The sequence below is a fragment of the Homo sapiens genome, chromosome 6 (genome assembly GCF_000001405.40).
Source record: "Homo sapiens chromosome 6, GRCh38.p14 Primary Assembly".
Taxonomy (NCBI): Eukaryota; Metazoa; Chordata; class Mammalia; order Primates; family Hominidae; genus Homo; species Homo sapiens.
In genome coordinates this window covers 96,063,241-96,084,696 of record NC_000006.12, presented here as the reverse complement: position 1 = coordinate 96,084,696, position 21,456 = coordinate 96,063,241, and the positions used below count along the sequence as shown (strand labels likewise).

Below are 21,456 nucleotides of genomic sequence, written 5' to 3'. Positions count from 1 at the left end.
ATGTCAAGATCTTGTCCACAAGATTTATAGGTTTTATGGCTCATATACAGCTAGTCCCCTTAGTCTAATTTCTATGAGACACATTTACTGTGTTGCTAATTTGCTAATAACTGAGTATTCGCACAGTCAGTCACAAACGTGTGTGTGAGAAAATTAACTTCACACTCTGAAAAACTACCAGTCAACTTTAAGGTAAGTCATTTAAGCTCTAGCTTTAATAGAATTAGAGATAAACCTGGGATATTTAGATATATATTTGTAATTGACAAGAGTGATTTGGGACAAAATTGAAAACTGAAATTTTTTGTTTTAGTTTTTATCCCAAAATGCTTTCTTCTTAGAGCGCTTTCTGTAGCTTAAAAAACAACATAACACTTATAAAAAGTGCCAGATGGTCTTTCCAGGAAATTTAAGATCTTCTCTTTGATGGAATTCTTTGGAGAATCAACTTAAAATTATTTTAGTTGTTAAAAGGAAATAAAGAGATATGATCTTCTAGACAGTCTGACTTTTAGTGTGATAAGTCACTTTAGTCTATCTCTCTCTCTGTTTTAATTTTCAAAGTTCCTAAGCGCCTTCTTGTTAAAAATAGTTCATTGTTATGGCTAGAATTAAGAAGACGCCCCAAATCTCAACTAAATATCTACTCAATTGACAAGTACATTCTGAAAGGTTAAGACCTAACTCAGGGAGTTATCATATAATGACATGTGAGAAGGAATGTTTTCTCAAATTATTAATGTTCACCTTTTCTATGCTTGACACAAGGAAGACACTCAAGAAATAGTCTGGAAGACACTCAAGAAATAGTCATCAAGAATAGATGAAAGAATACATGCATGAAAATAAACAGATGCTTAGATTAAATAAGAGAAATGCTATTATATCGAACGCAGTACTTAAAATATTTGAAGGGTTATTATGCTAAAAGAGGGTGAATTTCTTTTTTATTTATTTCTTTTTAATGTGGAGGATCTGGCAGTCAAAGCTCAGATCAATAAATGGTAACTCAAGAGAAGCAGAGCTTAGTTCAGTATGACGAACTGTACTTGACAATGGAATGGAAATCTGAGAAGAGGGTGTGATGCCAGCTGCTGAAGGGGTTTAAGTGGAACTCTTAACACTCAAGAAAGCTGGCACTCAAGAAAGATGCAATAGAGAGGCTAGAACATTGGATGAAAGGTAGAACTAGGTGACCTGTGATCAACAATATCATTCTATGCTATGTTCAATGATAACTTGTAAGTCAATGCATCCAGAGAACAGAATAGAATAAGTAAATGGACAGCAGTCCTTTTAATATTATCTGCTACTTATAAATAGTCTTTGTTTTGCAACTCCAAAATTTTGGCCTATGCTGATTAATTATTAGCCAATACAATCTATCTATTTGTGAGAAAGACAGAGCCCTTATCTTGACTTACACATTCAGAAATATTAATACATGTGACTCACCTCTTCATTCATTCATTCAAGTTTTTTAAGTGCCCACTTTGTTTTAGACACTGGTGATTCAGTGTTGATAAGAAAACACAAAGTTTCTACTCTTAGAAAACTGAATTCTGGTGAGAAAGGATAGGTCACAAACACATCAAAGAATAAGGAAATATAAAATGTTCAGTGTGTGATAGTAAGGAGAATGGACTATAGGGAGACAAAAGTAAAACAGAGAACCCAGTTAAAAAGCTACTGTCATTTTCCAGCTAAAAAAATTTTTGAAGAACTCTCATTTCTAAATGAAGCAACCAGAAAATATATCCCTTATGGTTAATGTAGCCAAGAACATAAAGTATCTAGAAACAAATAAACAAATAAGTAGGTAAACCCAATGCACAAAGCTCTTTCTTGAGAAAATGATAACAATTTACTAAAAGACATTAAAGAAATCCCCAGTAAGTTAGAGTTGGAGAAGTATAACATGTTTTTGAGTGGAAAGGCTGAATATATTAACGATGCAATTTCTCCAAAAAATAGTAGATAGGTTCAATGTAATTGTTTAAAGATTTTAAGAAAATTGAAAACTAATTTTTAAAATGCATATAGAAGAATAAAGGGACAACACTAGCCAAGACTCTCTGCTAAATAAGGGACAACACTAGCCAAGACTCAAGTATCAGATGAAGAAATTTGCTATACAAAACATCAAAGACATATTATGAAGCTATTGTTATATAATTCAGACAATGTGGTATTTGGAATAGGCAAATAGCCAATGGCAGAAATAGTTTTAAAATAGACCCACTCATGTATGGAATCTCTCTATTTGTTATACTGCTGATCATCAGGAAATAGTATACTATTTAAGGTGCCGGGATCTGGATATTGTTTGAAAAAAAAAGTGAAAGTAAATCTCTACATGTGTCATTTTCAAAGCTTGTTTTAAGAGGTATTAAATATTTCAATGTGAAAGGCAAATTTTAAAAGCTTTAGAGGACAATATAGAAAAATATCACCGCACTTCAAGGGTTGAAAAATTTCTGCTAAAGAATAATAAAAAAAATCCAAACTCAAAAGGAAAATATTGATATATTTACTTAAAATAAATATTTTATTAACTGAATATGCCATAAAAAGAGTAAAAAGTCAAGACCTGAACTGGAAGAAGGTATTTATAAAAGTGGATTAAACAAATGACTATAGTGTTGAGAATACAGAATTTCTCCAGATCAATAATTACAAAACAATCAATAAAATTATGTTTAAATGACCAAATGTACATTTCAGAGGAAAGGAAATATAAACAGCCATTAAGTAAAGAAAAATTGCTCAACTGCATTAGCAATCAGGAAAACAAAAATTTATAATAACAAAAAGATGCCTCCTTATACTCCACAGACGGACAAAAATTAAAAGTCAGAGACAATAATGAGTATTGGTGAGGGAATGGAGAAAGTGTAATGTTCAACTATTGCTAATGTGAGTGTAAATCAGCACAAACACTTAATAGTTTGGCATAATCTATTGCATTTGAACATGTGGAAATCTCAACTTTGTTCTTCTACTCTAAATATGTACTTTGTAGAACCTCTCGCACATACTTACAATAGACTATTACCAGAATGTTTGTAGTAGCATTGTTTTTAATCCAGAAGGACAACAATGAAACATCAAAAAACCACAACCATCATCTTGGAAGCCATTCAAATATTTACCCATATTAGAATTTATATATACATTGTAAGATAGTAAGACAATTGCCTAATGTAGAACAATAAAAACAAATGAACTACAAATAGACGTATCAGCATAGGTGAATCTACAATCAAGATGTGGAGAGAAAGGAGTAAATTGCAGAAAAATATATACAATACTACTTCATTTAAGAAAAATTCAAAGACAATCAAAACTAAAAAATGTATTATCCAAGAAGGGTGTGTGTTTGTGTGTGAAAGAATACTTTTTAAAAAGTAAGAAAATGAAGAACATGTGAATCATTGCAAGAAATGGATGGCAATTTAATTAGCATTTAAGGAGCCTCAAAATTATTGATATTGTTTTATTTATGATGTTAAATATTCATTGAAAAATATTCCTTAAACTTTACATATACTTTTTATGTTTCTTTCATGAAATATTTTACAGATATTATAACTAGTAAAAATAAATCCTAGTGTGAATAGGATTTTAGCAATGGAGATGGAGAGAATAGACAGATTTCAAACAATTTTTGGTGTTATTGCTGGTAAGATTTTATGATGTGTTGCATGTGCATAATGAATGAAAATGTGATATTATAAATTAATCTCAAGATTGTGCTTTCAATAAACAGGGTACATGTTGTTGCTAATTCTTCAAATAAGAAATATGTTTACCAATGAAATAAGAGTTCGAATCTGGACTTGCCATTTTTGAGATGTATAATAGACATACCCAAGAACATCTCAAGTTGACAGTTAGATATATGCATTTTGAAATAAGGAGATATACCAAGGCTGATGATACAAATTTAGGCACAAATGGCATACAGATGGCATTCATTTTAAACCATGGAACTGGATATGACCACTTTAGGAAGGACTGTGGATTGAAATGGAAGAAGGTACATGGTCAAGACATGATTTTTCAAATATTAAAGTTTGAATAAATGAGTTATTTACATTTTAATCATCATTGGAACATTTAAATACCTTATTTTTATCATAATTTTCCCAATATAGTGTTTTATTTGTAATACCTTACTTCAAATTCAGTTTTGAAATAGGCAGAGTATACATACATTTAATAAGTAGGCAAAGACATTTTCGTCTTTGCTTCACTTCAGTTCTTTCTTCTTTCACTAAATTGCCTAAGGCATAGAAAAATGTACCTTAAAATTTCATTTTATTGATCTCTTCACTCCTCTTATGTAAAGTCTACTAAAATAAGTCCTAGATTCTAGACAATTATTAAAGAAGTTATTTATAGCTACACTTTTATATCCTCTTACAAATAACCATTGAAAAAATTATTATGTCATTCTTTCTGGCTTTTTTTTTAGAAACACAATTAAGCTTTATTTGTGAGAACTACTGAGAAATAGATCATAGAAACTAGCAAAAATAAAATGTTGAATACTGGTTTGATGAATATTTTATTCATCATGATTTGTTCAAATATAACTTCTTAAAAAGTGCAAAGTCACAAATATATATGAATTTGTATTTCTTTTGATATTTAATGTCCTGAGTTTATTCTACTTCTTCAAGTACAAAGCAATAATATTGTCAGATACATTGTTGTAAAGGCAAAGACAATATTTTTGGTGAGAATCATTATTGTTTTCCATTTTTTTAAAGCTATATCCATTTTTATTTTCCCCTAGTAAACTTTTATTTTCTTAGAGTTTATTAAATTTAGCAAGTAGTTTTTCCTATGCTATTAAAATACATCATTGTCCTGCCAATGGACTTTGATAGCTAACATTGTAGTAGAGTTCTTATTTTTTTCACAAAACTATTAAAAAATATGAAAGTTTTCAGTTCCGATTATGTTGCTTTTTCTGATGGAGGTGATGTTTTTTACACTAGAAACATATTGTAGAACAATAGGATTATTATCCTAAATGTCCTCAGAAACATTTTGTCTCATACATTAGAAGACAAACTGGTGATGCCAATATCGAGAAGACTAATAAAACAATATTCCATTAAAAATGATATATTAATCTCATGCATTTATTTTCTTGCCTTTCAACAACCTTACCAAAATGACTGTAAAGGAATAATATGTCTTTAAATACTCAAGGGGAATGGGAAACAGAGAGGAATATCAGCACCTGAAAGATTTCAACAATTTCAGGAGGAATCAGAAAGCAAATGAAAGAATAGTAACTGACTTAACTTCGAGAGTAGTAACTGACTTCAGATGCCACCTAAATACCTAGAGAGAGGGAGAGTGACAAGAAACTAGTCAATATAGCTGTGGTGTCCAAAAAGCTCAGTATTTGAAGGCACTGAGTGTTGTGGAAATTTAAAGTTGTTGAAAATGGAAGGTTGGTCGAAGGAATGCATATAAATCTGGTGTTTCCTAGTCTCCCTTCCCCACCTTTGAAAATGTACAGGGAAAAAATCTTGAATATCTATTTTCAAGAGAAATTAAAACATGGTGCCTCTGAACATGGGCACGTATGAAGAGGAGTAAAGAAATAAAGTGCAGATCAGAGCCAAATACAGGAAGGCAGCAAGGATCTGAAAATGAAATGGTGGGACTCTTTGAGCCCAAAACTCTAGCCACAGGAATATATGTTTAAATAAGAAGATTAAGGAGTCTTCTTTTCAGAAACAGAATGGTTGGCGGCAGGGGCAAGGAGAAGCAAAAGCCTAAATATTGATGTCTCCCAATGAAAAAAGACCAACTCACTGATTAATCACGGTAAATGAAATATATCTAGCAAATTGCACCTAATGCATAAAGAGCTTCAATTAGTTTTGTTTGACCTTTGTTTAATTATGAATGCCTAATTAACGATCATGAAAAATTTGGTTAAGACTCTAATATGGGCCGGGTGCGGTGGCTCAGGCCTGTAATCCCAGCACTTTGGGAGGCCGAGTCGGGCTCATCACGAGGTCAGGAGACAGAGACCATCCTGGCTAACACGGTGAAACCCTGTCTCTACTAAAAATACAGAAAATTAGCCGGGCGTAGTGGCATGTGCCTGTAGTCCCAGCTACTCGGGAGGCTGAGGCAGGAGAATGGCGCGAATCCAGGAGGCGGAGCTTGCAGTGAGCCAAGATCGCGCCACTGCACTCCAGCCTGTGGGACAGAGCGAGGCTCCGTCTCAAAAAAAAAAAAAAAAAAAAAAAAAAAAAAGAAGACTAATATGAAAGAAAGAGATCAAAGCAAGCACACTGTAAGAAGGTTCATAAGAGGAAAGGTGTATTGAATATCTGAGCTATAAAAGAAGATGTATCTCTGAAACAAAAGCAGAATTATATGAAGCCAGAGCAGCCAGAGAGCAAGAAAAAGCTCATGGAAATATAACCAAAATTAAAATTCCAGTAGAAAATTTGAAAAACACAGTTGAGGAAATCTCCCGGAATGTAGAAAAAATTGAAAGGGAGAAAGTTGTAATGAAAAAATTAAAACAAGTAGAGTCAATTCTGAAGGTCCAACATCTCATTCATATGCATCCCGGAAATAGAACACAGAGGAAACAAGTTAAAAATTATTTTAATAAACACGAACAAAATAACTAAGATCATGACTGCAAGTGCTCACTGAATACCTAAGAAAGTAACGTTGTAAAGAAACTCTTACAGTGTGCAGCACCTTGAAATTTCGGAACGCTAGGGATAAAGAGCAAATAATGGAGACTATAAAGTTGATGTGGAGGCAGATCACATAAAAAGGAACAACCAAAGGAATATTCTTAACCACAAAACACTGGCTATTAAGCATTGACTACATTATTAGTTGAGTGTGAGGTTAGAATGAGGATAGATTAAAGTTGATATCACATAAAGACTCCAAAGTGTATTTTCATGTGTTCTTTCAGACGTTATTGTAGGATATGCTCCAAAAAAGCAAGAGAGAAAACCCAGAAAGAGAACTCAGAAAACAATAATCCAGCCAACAAAGAGCTGTAGGGAATCTACAGAATGATCACTGCTTGCTGAGACTAAAGAACAATCAATCCAGATGGAAAAAGGGTGGAGAGCTCCAGCAGGAGATTTTACAAGGTGAGAGGAGGGGGAAGAAGCCGATAGATTACCAGATAATTTTGAGTTTTTAAAAATTACATTAAAAGGCTTTTGATAGTTTGGATAAACTATGGAAAAATAGGAACAGTTACGTAGAAAACCATGCACATTAATAAAGAAAAAGAAATTATTAACTCCAAGAACAACATGAAGTTGTATAAGAAAGAATAGTAGAGAATTTAGATCAAAAATGAGTACCTACACAATCCTAATAATATATAAACTGACTAAAGTTTCTAATATTCTTAGTTTATGAGATTGGGTAAAAGGGATGTGTATGTGTGTGTGTTGGTGGGGGAGCAACTGTGAGGATCCTAACCTCATTACCATAACACAAAGTCAAAAACAACAATAGCATTGATTAATGAAGTCACAGCATCATAAGAAAATTATACCAGAACCATGTCTGCATTTGTGTATTTGTGAGTATTGTGTCTCTGAGGTGTCAATCTGGGGGAAGGCAAGGGCTGGGGAGGGAATGGAAGTGTTCCTTTACTAGACTTTTTGTATTATATAATGGTTTTATGCTTTTGAGCATATTGCTCTGATAAAAATTTTGCATATTCATAAAATAATGAAGAGAGCCATCAGTGAACTAATAATCAAAGTTTCCTTATTACAGTCTATTTGTTTATCTGATATATAAACTTCAAAAAAGTGTTCCAGTTTGTAAAACAAGGCCAACAACATTTGCAGCCGAGCAGTTCATGTGGTATATTTGAGAACTAAATAACTACTCTTAGAAACATGTCAACTGCCCAGAGGAAATAACACTGCAAACATAAAACAGTGTTACAACATGCCTATGTTAACTTTGAATTTCATTAGGAGTTTAATATTTATATTTCTATATATCAAACAGTATAATACATTGACAATAATTTAAATTATTTACTTTATACTTATGAAGCCAATGCCAAGTATATATGTTGTTCTCAGCAGTTCCATTTTCAAATGAAAGAAATCAGATGGCTTTGTCAGTTTTATCTCACATGGCGAAATGCTAAATAAATTATTTTAATGGGCCTAAATATTTTAGGTGAAAACTCAAAAAGCATGTGGATATTTGTCTCCTTGGATGAAGGAAGGCTGCAATTTATATTCACAAAGCAATATAAATTAATTCAATAGCCACTTGAAAGCCCTCAGGTAATTCCCAGATTACCAGCAAGGCTGTCTATCAAGTGAACTTGCAGTCCTTAACATTGTGTAAAGATATCTTAATAATCACTATTAATATTTCCTCCTTTATATCCCAGCCCAAAATAGTCTTCCTATATTTCCTTAAATCTTGACATCAAGTTATAAAGTACCATTTGGTGTAGAAAATGCAAACATGCAAGCATTCTTTATGTAGTATCAGCTCCTAAAGAAAGGGCCTGAAAATCTGGGCTATTTCTGAATTCCATGGATATGTTACCCACAGAGAAACTGACTGCCCTGAGTCACAGCTCACTTCAGACCACTTGCCCAGTCATTTCATTATTTATAGTAAATAATAGGCTGGTGACATAGTCTGGACAATGCAGCTTGTGTAACTATCCTTTCTGGTATGTTTTAAGAGGTGGAAGAACAAAGCCCACTCTAACAACAGGCTATTTGGGGATATAAATATTTGTTAATACCTACTGCAAAACATGTACGAGGGGAAAAGAAATGTCATTCTTTTACTTATGTATGTATTAAACTTTAGAATCCTACAGGCCTCTTTCATTGACCCATTGTCAAATCGGTCAGTGAACTTAAGTTGACATAAAATTTAAGGAATCGGCTGATACTAATTTCAGCTGATGAAGCACTAGCCTGAATAAGACAGGCAGTTTTAAACATCTAAAGGTTTAAAATGTGTACTAATTTCCATTAGATTCAGTTATACATTCATATTATAAGAAGATCCAAGTCCGTATAATTTTCCTTTCAAAATATAATGAAATGAATGAATTATTAAAAGTTAAGGAAATAAAAAGTTATACATAAGTAACTTGAGTTTGTATATATGTCAAACCTGCTTTTGCAAGAAGAAGAACTAGTATATATACATATATATTTGTCAGGAAAGTGAGATTCATTTCTGAAGCACAAAATTTCCATCATTTTCTTACAGATGCTAAATATGAAATGGTACAAAATTAAAATTTAGGATTCCATGGTTTCTCAAGTTTTCTTGGTATCAAACCCTGGTCGAAGGCTTTGTTTCTGATGTATGCAAAGGGAATGTGAAACTTTGATTTTTCTCCTACTGTTTAAAGTCTTCACTATTATTAGTTTCAAACTTGGCTCCTAACACAACAAACTTTTTGTTGTATTTCTGATTTATGTGCTATAGTAGCTTTCTGCTAGTAACTGACAAAGCAGAAATACACACACACACCTACACACACACGCACACACACATCTATATAATACATAGGTGTATTGCCTAAAAACTAAAATCAGGCCCAGTGTGCTGGCTCATGCCTGTAATCCCAGTGCTTTGGGAGGCCAAGGTGGAAGGGTTGCTTGAGGCCAGGAGTTTCTAATGAGCCTGGGCAACACAGTGAGACCTCTGTCTCTACAAAGAATTAAAAAAAAAAAATTCGCTGGCCATGGTGGCGTGAGCTTGCAGTCCTTGCTACTCAGGAGGCTGAGGCAGAAAGATCACTTGAACCCAGGAGTTCCAGGATGAAGTGAGCTGTGTTCATACCACAGCACTCCAGCCTGGGAGACAGAATGAGACCCTGTCTCTTAAAAAAAACAATAATTAAATTAAAACTAAAACCATCTAATTACTTTATTGCCTATATTTTATACAGTGACAATATTTGATTGTAACAGCAAAGTTTTAGAGATAAAGGTAATTTTTCTTCTAAAAACTATAGTTATATAGGTGACCATATTGCTTTTAAATGACCTTATTTTTGAACCTAATGTTCAAAAGAACAATGAGACTCCAAAATATTCTTTAGGAAATGTCCATGAAGTATGAAGTGAGAGCAGTTATGATCCTATCCCTTTAACAAAGAAGAAAAGGGACATGCCAGAAGACTAATTTTAGTTTCTTCCAAGAGCCTTATTATTAAACAAAAATCTGACTCCTAACTATATATTAATAAACTTGGCTTCTTCAGGAAATTCATGTCCAAACTCAATATTACTTTCATTATACCATTTGCTTTCTTCCCAAGAAATGACTGGGAAGAAAGTCATTGCAAGACCCTATTCTTCTAGCTCTGCTTGTAAATGCTGTGTTTTATTTTTTAACAAACCAAAGAAAACAGACATCATCAAATTTTATGTAAACGGCTGTGCTAATAGGCCACGTGCAGCTGCCAGGCAGGCTGCATTCTCAGGGATGGGGACACTGTGGATATTGTTTGGTGCAGTACAAATTTTATGTTAAAAACCAACTACTGCTAATATTCGGTGAGATAATAAAATAACAGGTTTTTAGAACTGGAATCATCTGGGCTAATGGTTTGCAACCTTCTCACTAGTAGATATTTTTTATTATTTTAATTGCAGGCCCTAAATTTTAAAAGATTTTAAATCAGTAAACAAGCCGTAGTTATACTGTTATTTTGTAATACTGAAAATCTAAATGGAATTTTAGTTTAGTTTGAAAACTCCATTACTACCTGTGGGGATTCAAGTTGGGAATGAATGAATGAGTCTTTCTTCATTCCACAGATGACAGATGTTGTGTCAGGATGAGGGTTGTACAAGGTTACACAGCTAATGAGAGGCAGCACTGGATATAGAACAATTTATAAGGAGGGAAACAATTTGTTAAAGCACCATCTTGGGCCCCTCATTAGCATCTCGCGCCTTTAATGTTTCTGTTCCCCATCGCCCTTTCAAGCCTCTATTCTTCTAGCTCTGCTTCTCATGCTGTGCAAAGATTTTAATTAATAGCAAGATACTGATAATGTTCAATCCATTTCTCAACCTGACCTCACTCTTGATATTTAGACCTGCTTATCCTATATCCTATTGAATACTACACACTCACTGGCCTTTAGGCCTTTACTTGCGTTGCATGTTTATCAGTAATACCATCCTTTATCTTTTCAATGCTTTTTTTTTTTTTTTTTGAGACGGAGTCTCACTCTGTCTCCCAAGCTGGAGTGCAGTGGCATAATCTCAGCTCACTGCAACCTCAGCCTCCTGGGTTCAAGCGACTATTCTGCCTCAGCCTCCCGAGTAGCTGGGACTACAGGGGTGTGTCACCACGCCTGGCTAATTTTTGTATTTTTAGTAGAGATGAGGTTTCACCATATTGACCAGGCTGGTCTCAAACACCTGACCTTGTGATCCACCTGTCTTGGCCCCCCAAAGTGCTGAGATTACGGGCATGAGCCACCACACCTGGCCAATGTTTCTTCTAATGACAGTTCAAATCTCTTCTTCTCTGTGAGACATCTGATTTCCATCCTCCCACTATATCCAGGTAGAAATAACGTGGTGTTCCCTGTGCTCACATTGCAAGTCAGAGCATTTGTTCTGTTTTCTGATTGTTTGTTCATGTGTATCTCTCCAGCTAGATGGAAAGACTCCTAAAGGTAGGAGGAGTGTCTGCTTCTTCTCTGTAACTCCAGTGCCCTACATATGCTGGCTCTGACATATGCCTGTCAAATAAGGCTTTATGTATGGTGCATAATTACTATCTGCTCAATATACTAGAAAGTATCCATTAGCCACATTTACTCATGCTTAGAGTAACTATAAACTTTACATAGCTATGTTTGTGCAATTTTTATTAACATCAAAGTACTTCAGTTAAAATATAGCACAAAATGACAAACTTTAAAAAATCTTCTTTCACTAATGAATTAACCAGTGAACTTCATTATTCAGATAGAAAAAAAAGTTGCCTTTTTCTATCTGAATAAGGCAAAAATTCATGGAACACAAAGGCATTATAAAAATAACCATGTGCATACCCCATAGAGGTACGTGCCAAGCTTAGTGAATTGTGGACATCATTATGGACTAGTAATTTTATGGAATAGTAATTTTAAACATGATCCTCTCCCTTGTTTTGTTTTTAAAGATTCCGACAAGTGAGTATATAGAGAGGAAAAAAATGCTCTTTCAGTGTATTTGACAAAGATATATTTGTGATGCAATCTACAAAGTGATGCAGAGAATAATAGGAGAAAGATACAATTTTTTACATCATTAGTGTTTTTAATGCACATTTTCCATATTTATAATCAGTCATTCCTATGCTCTGACTGCTTAGAAATAAGGTGGTACGAAATAAGATAAGAGATATGGAGAGAGGGTAGTGTAGTGGTTCTGAGTCTGGGATTTATAGTCAATTGGGTTTGAATCTTGACTCTGCTACTTGCAGCTATATGACCTCAGCAAGTTAATTAACATCTCTAAACCCCTAGTTTCTCATTAAGAAATGGAGTCTATAATAGAACCTATTTCTTTTCTTTTCTTCTTAAATAGAGATAAGGTCTTACTATATTGCCTAGGAACCCAGCCTATAGAATGTATTTCATGAAGTCATTGCAAGTATTAAAAAGAATAATTCATAGAGAGCATTTTGCACCACATCTAGTTTAATAGTCACAATAAATAAAATTAACTATTATTGGGCTGGGTGTGGTGGCTCACGCCTATAATCCAAGTACTTTGGGAAGCTGAGATGAGAGCATTGCTTGAGCCCAGGAGTTTGAGACCAGCCTGGGTAACATAGTGGAACCCTGTCTCTACAAAAGAAAAAAAAACTTAAATTTTAATTTTAAATATTAACTATTATCATTTATATAATTATTGATTGGCTGTTGTTAAAATTTTGGTCATAGATGTTTAGGGATAGAAGAGATCTTAGTGACAATTTTTAAAAATGCCGTGAGTCTTGCTCCTTTGTTGATGTAGTAATGGTTAAACTGCCATAGCTTCCAGGTATTCAGATTTGCAGCCCATTGCTCTTTATACTCTTCACTAAAACGACATTTAAGCTTCATTTTTAAAATAATTGATTTGCCATGGGCAAACCAATTTTTTTACTTCCAGAATTATTTTATCTGTGATCATTAATCAGAATGAATAATAGAGGCAGAAAATTAATAGTTATTATATCTGGGCAAATGTGTAAACATTGTTATAAATTCTTAATTTTTGCATCATATTTTTCAGCTTTATCCTCTCCATAATAACTACCTCCCAGAACATACTATCCCTTACCAGACAACTAGAACAAATCCTATCTGAGGTAAATTGCTCCCAGAGATAGCCCCACATACTTCCTCACTTACAGGAGCTGTTTTAATGACTGCTGCTGCAGAACAGCACCTCTGACCTGCAGTCAATTTCCAACTGCAGACACATCTGCTGTCAGAATTCCATCCTAATTCTAAAAAGTCCTCTACTACATCTGAAATTTCTTTACTTTCAATTTGTTCATAAAATGCAAAATTAGATTTCAAAGAATTTTTATCCAATATGCATTAGCTACCTTGATAGACTGAGATTGTTTTAATGTCACTTTTCATCAACTCATTTTGAGAGTGCTCATATTTATTTTGTCATGCAGTAATATTAAATATATATGCTAAATTTAAGCGAGAAGACTAACATCTATCTGATAAGCCCCTACTTACATATGCTTCAATGTTTCTATTTAGATTACTGCATCCTTAGCAAAGCAATGCATAATTCAGATCCCAAGAGAAAAATGATTGAAAGAGAATCTAGGATATATTATACATATACATATACATTCTGGTTTGTAAGTTAAACTGCATACATATTTTCACATTCAAGTTTTTATTCAAAATTTTATAATAATGATTTTCCATGTAATTCTAACTTAATTAAATTAATTAATTAATTTTTTTTTGAGATGGGGTTTTCCTCTGTCGCTCAGGCTGGAGTGCAGTGGCACAATCTCGGCTCACTGTAACCTCTGCTCCCCAGGCTCAAGCAATCCTCCCACTTCAGCCTCCCAAGTTGCTGGGACTACAGGTGTGCCACACCATGCCCAGCTAACTTTTTGTATTTTCTGTAGAGATGGAGTTTCCCCGTGTTGCCCAGGCTGGTCTCGTACTCCTGAGCTCAAGCGATCCTGCCACCTTGGCCTCCCAAAGTGCTGGAATTACAGGCATAATTACAATTTTAAGGCTTGTATAGTATTACATAATATGGTTTGCCATAGTTAACTTTTCTCATTTTGTGGGACATTTATAAGGTTCCCAATATTTTGTGATTACAAATAATGCTTTAATAAATGTATTTAAATAAATGTCTTTTTTCTGTATTTCAATGTTGTTCAAATAGCTTCACAGAAATATCAATTCTGGGACAAAGAATGTAAACATTTTAAGTATGTAATTATTTTTATCAAACATACTAGGATAGGTGTCCCCTCACTTATCAGCTCATCAACAAGGTAAGATAATATTTCTCAAGTGCTTTTTGTTTGCATATTTTTATTATTAAGGAAGTTAAATATTCTGTAATTCATTCACTATTGTTTGTAAAATAATGAATAATTTATAATTTATTCATGAATTGTGCCCATTATATTTTTTTCTTTGATCTCTGTTTTAATTATTTTGTGTGTTTTTTTAGCTGTGTTTTAATAATTTGCTCTGTTAGCTGGGTGCGGTGGCTCACGCCTGTAATCCCAGCACTTTGAGAGGCCGAGGAGGGTAAGTTACGAGGTCCAGATATTGAGACCATCCTGGCTAACACGGCGAAACCCCATCTCTACTAAAAATACAAAAAAATTAGCTGGGCATGGTGGCGCGCGCCTGTAGTTCGGCTACTAGGGAGGCTGAGGTTGGAGAATCGCTTGAACCTGGGAGGTGGATGTTGCAGTGAGCCAAGATCGCACCACTGCACTCCAGCCTGGGCGACAGAGCCTTGAGACTCCATCTCAAAAAAATAAAATAAAAAATAAAAAAATAAAAAAATAATAGTTTGTTCTGTTTAGCTACTTACTAATCTTCCTTGAAATTATCTTACCAAAAATTATTCACTTCTCTGAATTTTAAAATTGATTTTTAAATTTCCTAAAGGTATTCTATTGAGATTTTTATTAAAATTAAATTAACTATATTTTTAAAAATCTTGTCACTAAGATTTTTTCCAATCTTCTCATTTGGCAATCTGATTACTCATTCCATTAAGCCCAGCAAAATATTGTAGATCTCATTCATTTCTTGGTAAGATGATTCTTTTCTTGTCTTTACTTTTTTTTTTTTGAGATGGAGTCATGCTCTGTAGCCCAGGCTGGAGTTCAGTGGCGCGATCTCGGCTCACTGCAACCTCCGCCACCAGCGTCCCGGTTCAAGCAATGCTCCTGCCTGTGCCTCCCGAGTAGCTGGGATTACAGGCACGTGCCACCATGCCCAGCTAATTTTTGTATTTTTAGTAGAGATGGGGTTTCACTATGTTGGCCAGGCTAGTCTTGAACTTCTGACCTCGTGATCCGCCAGCCTCGGCCTCCCAAAGTGCTGGAATGACAGGCGTAAGCCACTGCGCCCGGTCAATGATTCTTAACTATCATATTTTACATTTGTTTCTGTAAATAGAATCCTATTTTCTTTATATTTTTAATTGGTTATTATCTGCGTACAAAAAGTCTTTGGATTTTAACATGCTTGTTTCCAGACAGTTTATCTGACTTCACAATTTTACTTCTTTTTTTCTCCAGTTCATTTTCTTAGGTTCTCCATATATGGGTAGCTTCTTTCCTCAGCCCATGGACAAAATTTACAAACACTATTTTCACAATGGCATGAAGGATAGCAAGTTTAGGTGGCATATAACTCATTTTAAGAGAAGATATTATCTACAATTATATTTTTACCAAAGCATAACTTTCCTCGTTTCTCTAGTAACAGCTTAGCCCACTGAAATCTGAAGTTCATACCTAACACTACTTAAACTGCTTTAAGTCTCACATTTATTTTTCAATTTATTCAGATGCTAATCAATGCGATAGAGGAAGGATAAAAATAGTTTGCTATGTCACCAATGATGTCTCAATTATCAAATTAATTGCTTCATTCATAACAATTATTTGTAGAATTCCAACTAACATTCTTTAGGCTGAGTCATACTATTATTATAGAATTTGACAATGCAGTTTTCTTCATCTTCATATTGGGTATTTTTGGTTAACTCACCCGTCTTTGCATGGTCTTCTAGTATATCTCTGATCTTCAGACTACTACGAGGACCATCTTCTACTCATTCCTTAAGTATTGTTATTTCTAGGAGGATTGTTTTGTTTCTCAATATTACTGTCTTTTTTTCTTTTCTTATACTTTCCTCTTGGGCAAGCCAAGCTATTTCATGGCCTCAAATATGACCTGTACATGGTTGATTTCCAAATATATACACTAGCTGTCCCCTCTTTCCAGAACTGCATTTCAAACTTGTCACTTCTATCTGGATGACTAAAATGATTAATCCAAAGTTGGATTCATTATATTTTCTTCAAAATCATCTTTTCTGTTGGAATTCATTAATTCAGATAATGCATAATTATAATGATAAAAATGATGTATGATAATAGTGACATTATAGTAATAATAAAAAAGAAACATTCATTCAACACCTATTATACTCCAGACACCATTTTAAGAGCTTTACATGTACTAACTCATTAATCATCACAACAATCCTATGAAGTAAACATACGTATTACATATTTTATAAGTAAGAATATTTAGGCACAAAATTTGAGGAAATTGCCCAAGGACATACTGATAAAATAAAAGGTAGAAAAACTAGCTTTATAGTCTCCACACGAAGTTGGTTCTTTTTTTCTTTTTTAAAAAAGAAACACAACCACAATTCTATACTTCCAACCACAATTCTATACTTCCAAGCTAAAAGCTAAAAGCATCAGAGTCATCCTTGAGTCATTTTTTCCTCTTATATCCCTAAATAATTTACCAAGACCTGTCAATCTGGTCTCTTGCATACTCAATGCCCTTCTCATCACCTCTACTCCCCTTTGCTTTTTCAAGCAACCACTAACTCTTATTTAAAGTGTAGCAAAGACTTCCCACTTCCAATATTTTATGCTTTCATGATGCCTCTGATACGATCAGGTGTGACTCCGTCATTCCTATGTTTAAAGCACTTCTGTTTTCTGTTTAAAATCTTTCTGTTTCATACAGGATAAAATTCAAACTTCTTGACAAAGTACACAAGGTCTTTTATATTCTAAAGTTGTATTAAGTTTCTGGACATTCTTCACTTGCCCCTCAACCCTACCTCAAACATATGTTCCCAGTTGTAATGATTACTTATTATTACCTAAACATGAGTATGTGCGTATACAACATATATGTATATATTCATATATATATATATTCATAGCCTAATGAGTTTATGTATCCATAGCCTAATAAATATATAAATATATATATATGTATACATATATATCAATATCCTTTAAGCTAGGAATTCCTCAATGGAGAGGTCATGCCTTATTGATCTATATTTTTTAACCTTAACAATATACAATACTCTGCACATGGCAGCTATTCAATAAGTTTTGGCTGAACACATGAATGAATTAAGAAAGTAATGAAGAATATAAAGCTTTTAGGTAAACCATATTTTAGGGTCCATGATGTTCATTTTTAAAAATTCAGCCTCTCCTACAACTGAAAAAATTGAGTGTGCAAGATCCAGGAATTAGGCAAGATTCTGGAAGAGGTATACCACACACAGTTTCTCTGAATATTCAGGGAGGAGAACGAGGAAAATCTTTACTATGTCTATTCCGCAAGTAATGCCTTTCCCAAGTAGTTCTGGAAATAAAGTACATATATTTGTATGAGTTATACAAAGATTTTTATGTACTCTATCAGCTTACTAATTATTGGGGGCTTGCTTTCCATTTGAGGAAGTTGGCCTATGGTCCTATTGCTTTAAGAAGACAAATGGATTACAAAATCACCATCATGGTTGGAATGTGGAAGAACATGTTAAATTAGGAGAACAGTGGCCTCTTTTTTACAGTAATTTATGAGTGGTGACAGGAATAAATGGCTTCGGATGACAATAGCCCTGTCAGTACCAAATGATAATATCATACTTGTGGTTAAATAAGCCACATCTGTCACAGAGGACAATGTGTAGAGCAATCAGTATACTTGTTAGAATCATAATGCTTATAATAAAATAATTCTGATTATCATTCCCCTTAGTTCTAGATTTTTATTTAAATTTCTATCCTATATCAATATTATATTGATATACAAATGTATTAAATGTGCATTTTAATGTGAACCATACTAAATCACTTTAAAGAAACAGATGAGAATAAGCAAAATTCTAAATAGAAAGAAAAAAGAAACTAAAACAGAGCCCAATCAATTAACTTTCTTAACTATTTCCTTACTATAAGGTAGTTATTGGGATAAACACAATAACCACTCAAAAATCAGGGTTGTGTAACTCTAAACAATGCAGTGGTGACCTGAGTCATTTAGCTGCACAAATACCTGGCAAGTGAAATGACAGCATCTAAATCATAGATTAGCTAGGAAAAGAAAAATAAAATGTTTGTACTAAAACAGTTGCTTGATAAATGTATCCTACTTTTCTTCAATGTTCATTTTTGATAAATGGCCAGACTTTGGAATGACTTTGCCTTGACACTTATCTCACAGTCAGCAACCATTATCTTGCGACAACAATCTATTCCTTTCTGTTATCTTGCAGATCATAACTGTTAAGTATTTTCACTGAGAATTTCCTATCAATTTTGTTATTTATGTCATAGAGGACCAAACTTTCTAATAAAGTATATTAGGCATATAGCTTGTAATTAAAAATTCAAAGTAATAGATCTATAGCAGTTTTGTAGCTGTTGTCTACATACATATCCCAAAGGAGGAAATGTTATGAAAAACAAAGCAAATGCTAACAATTTTTTTTAATTCACATTTCTTCAAATTGCATATAAATTCCCGAGAAAGTTCACAGACTTGGAGCTTAAAGAGATAGAACAATATTGTACTTATTAACATACTGGTCACATCCCATCATATTAGATGGAGTAGCCACATGGCCAATTACTTAGAGAACTGAGCAAGTTGCCAGGAATTTGTAACCATTGGCAATCTTCTCAATAAACATATTTTTTCCAAGTGTTCTTGCTCCTGTGGCTACAGGAGGCTTCTCAGAGCATGCAAGGAGAGGAAAAATTGAAAGGCAAATCCTTAAGAGAGCATTGTTTGTATGGCTAGTTCATTTCAAAACATTCATACTGAACAACTAGACAGTGAATTTTATTAGTTCGACCTTGACTGCCCCACCATGGGAATTCAGTTTAATTGCCTTATCTTACAATAAGGAAACTAAGTCTCAGAATATTTTTATAATTTGGCCAAGTCTACCTAGACAGGAAGAAGAAGAGTTACGACGTGACACTAGTAACTCTTCCAGAAACATCTAATCTAGTGTTCTTTCTACTAATCATTGTTCTTAAAATTCACATGGAACATGTACTAAAAATATAGATTTCTTGGTCCCTACCCCAAATGTGGAGTGAAGCAAGGGAATTTTCATTTTTACTGTTTAGAGTATTGTGTTGTAGCAATCTAAGAACATATTTTGAGATGTACTTTTCTATGCTACAATATTTCTTCATACACATAAAATAATTCTTCATTGCTTTGGCTAGCACAGCAGCTTTCTCAACAGATTTCTTCGACATTCAGTTCTAGAATAGCTAATGCAGGCTGAGGTGGGGAGAAAATTGAATGGTGTGTGTATGTGTGTTTGCGTGTGTGTGCACATGCATGCATGTGTGTGTATTAAGGTGAAAGATAAAGATAAAGAATGGTTTGAATAGAAGCTACTTACAAATAAGCCAAGAATAGAGGACAAATCAAACTGATTAAAGATCCACCCACTTTTCTATATAAGAGCTACTTTTATGTTTGTATTTTTTTCAATGTAGATCAGTGTGTGTGTGCTGGGAGCCAAAGAAAAGTTACTTCCAAGTAGAGGTTTTGTGCCAAGTTCTCCCATGGGAATGAGAAGACTCTAAGAGCTCCTTGCTCTAATGACGCCATCAGCCCCCTCATTTTTTTCTTTGCTGTCTTTACTATGCACCTGCAAGTCAGTCACATTCTCTTTGTACATTGCCAGTATGGGGTGATGAATGCTCAAAGAAAACACATCATTTTCCACATGATCCATTACTATACTCTCTATGCCCCTCATTCAGTTCTCCTTCTCAGCAGGGAGACCCAGGCTGGGTCTCAGTACTAAACTCATAGGTAACAAGTTTCTGATGAAGATATGAGACTATTGGTTGAATACCATGGTAATAACATTAATAATAGGTGCAGGATGAGTTCTTTATCACAGAAAGCCAGTGTGAACAAGCAACTTATCCACTAATGGTTAATCCTGAGCTAGCAAAAATGAGGTAATTGTTCTACCCCAATGTGAGTAGTTCTGGATTTCCTTACACTAACTGTCCTGTGAACTTTGGTAGCAATTGTGACATTATAAGTTCTAGATCGATGGGGATATCTATTATCCCTAATAGTGTAACCAAGAGACTACTGGTTCATTCAAATCATTGTCTCATTTTGAAGCTTTTCCAGTGAGTTTAAATAACAGAAACAATTACTTAAGTTTTTAATTCAATTATAAAGACTTTACCATAAGCTCCTTGCCAGTCTGAATCTCAATGAAATTGGCTGAGATACTTTGGTGCATCTGCCTGGTGCGCAGGGTATAGGTGGCATCTTCAGGATCCTTCACCAAATTACGTCTCCAAAGATAAAACTTTTTGCTTCCCACTTTATGTACTCACTAGATCCAGTAACTTTATCCATCCATGACCCTGCAATGCTTCATTGCCTTCATCTATCTCACAAAACAGTGAAGCATAAGTTATTAAATATTTACATTTCATACCCCATGATAGAGTTAGGATATTTGTCTGTGCCTAAATCTCATGTTGAAATGTAATCCCCAGTGTTGGAGGTGGGTCCTGGTGGGAGGTGTCTGGATCATGCCCCCGAATGCCCCTGAATGGCTTGAGCTATTCCCTTGGTAATAACCGAGCTTTCACTCTGAGTTCACATGAGATCTGATTGTTGTAAAGTGTGCCCCCCATACTCTCTCCCTTGTTCCTGCTTTTGCCATGTGATGCGCTTGTTCCCCCTTTGCCTTCTGCCATGATTGTAAGCTTCCTGAGGCCTCCCCAGAAGCTGAGCAGATGTTGGCACCATACTTCCTGTAAAACATACAGAACCGTGAGCCAATTAAACCTATTTTCTTAAGAATTACCCAGCCT

General features: G+C 34.2%; 1 protein-coding gene across 4 annotated transcripts in view; it reads right to left on the bottom strand.

The window, feature by feature from the left end:
* Positions 1-21,456, bottom strand: part of FUT9 (fucosyltransferase 9) — a 199,639-nt gene that overhangs the window by 130,916 nt on the left and 47,267 nt on the right. The gene's annotated exons all lie outside the window — the stretch shown is intronic.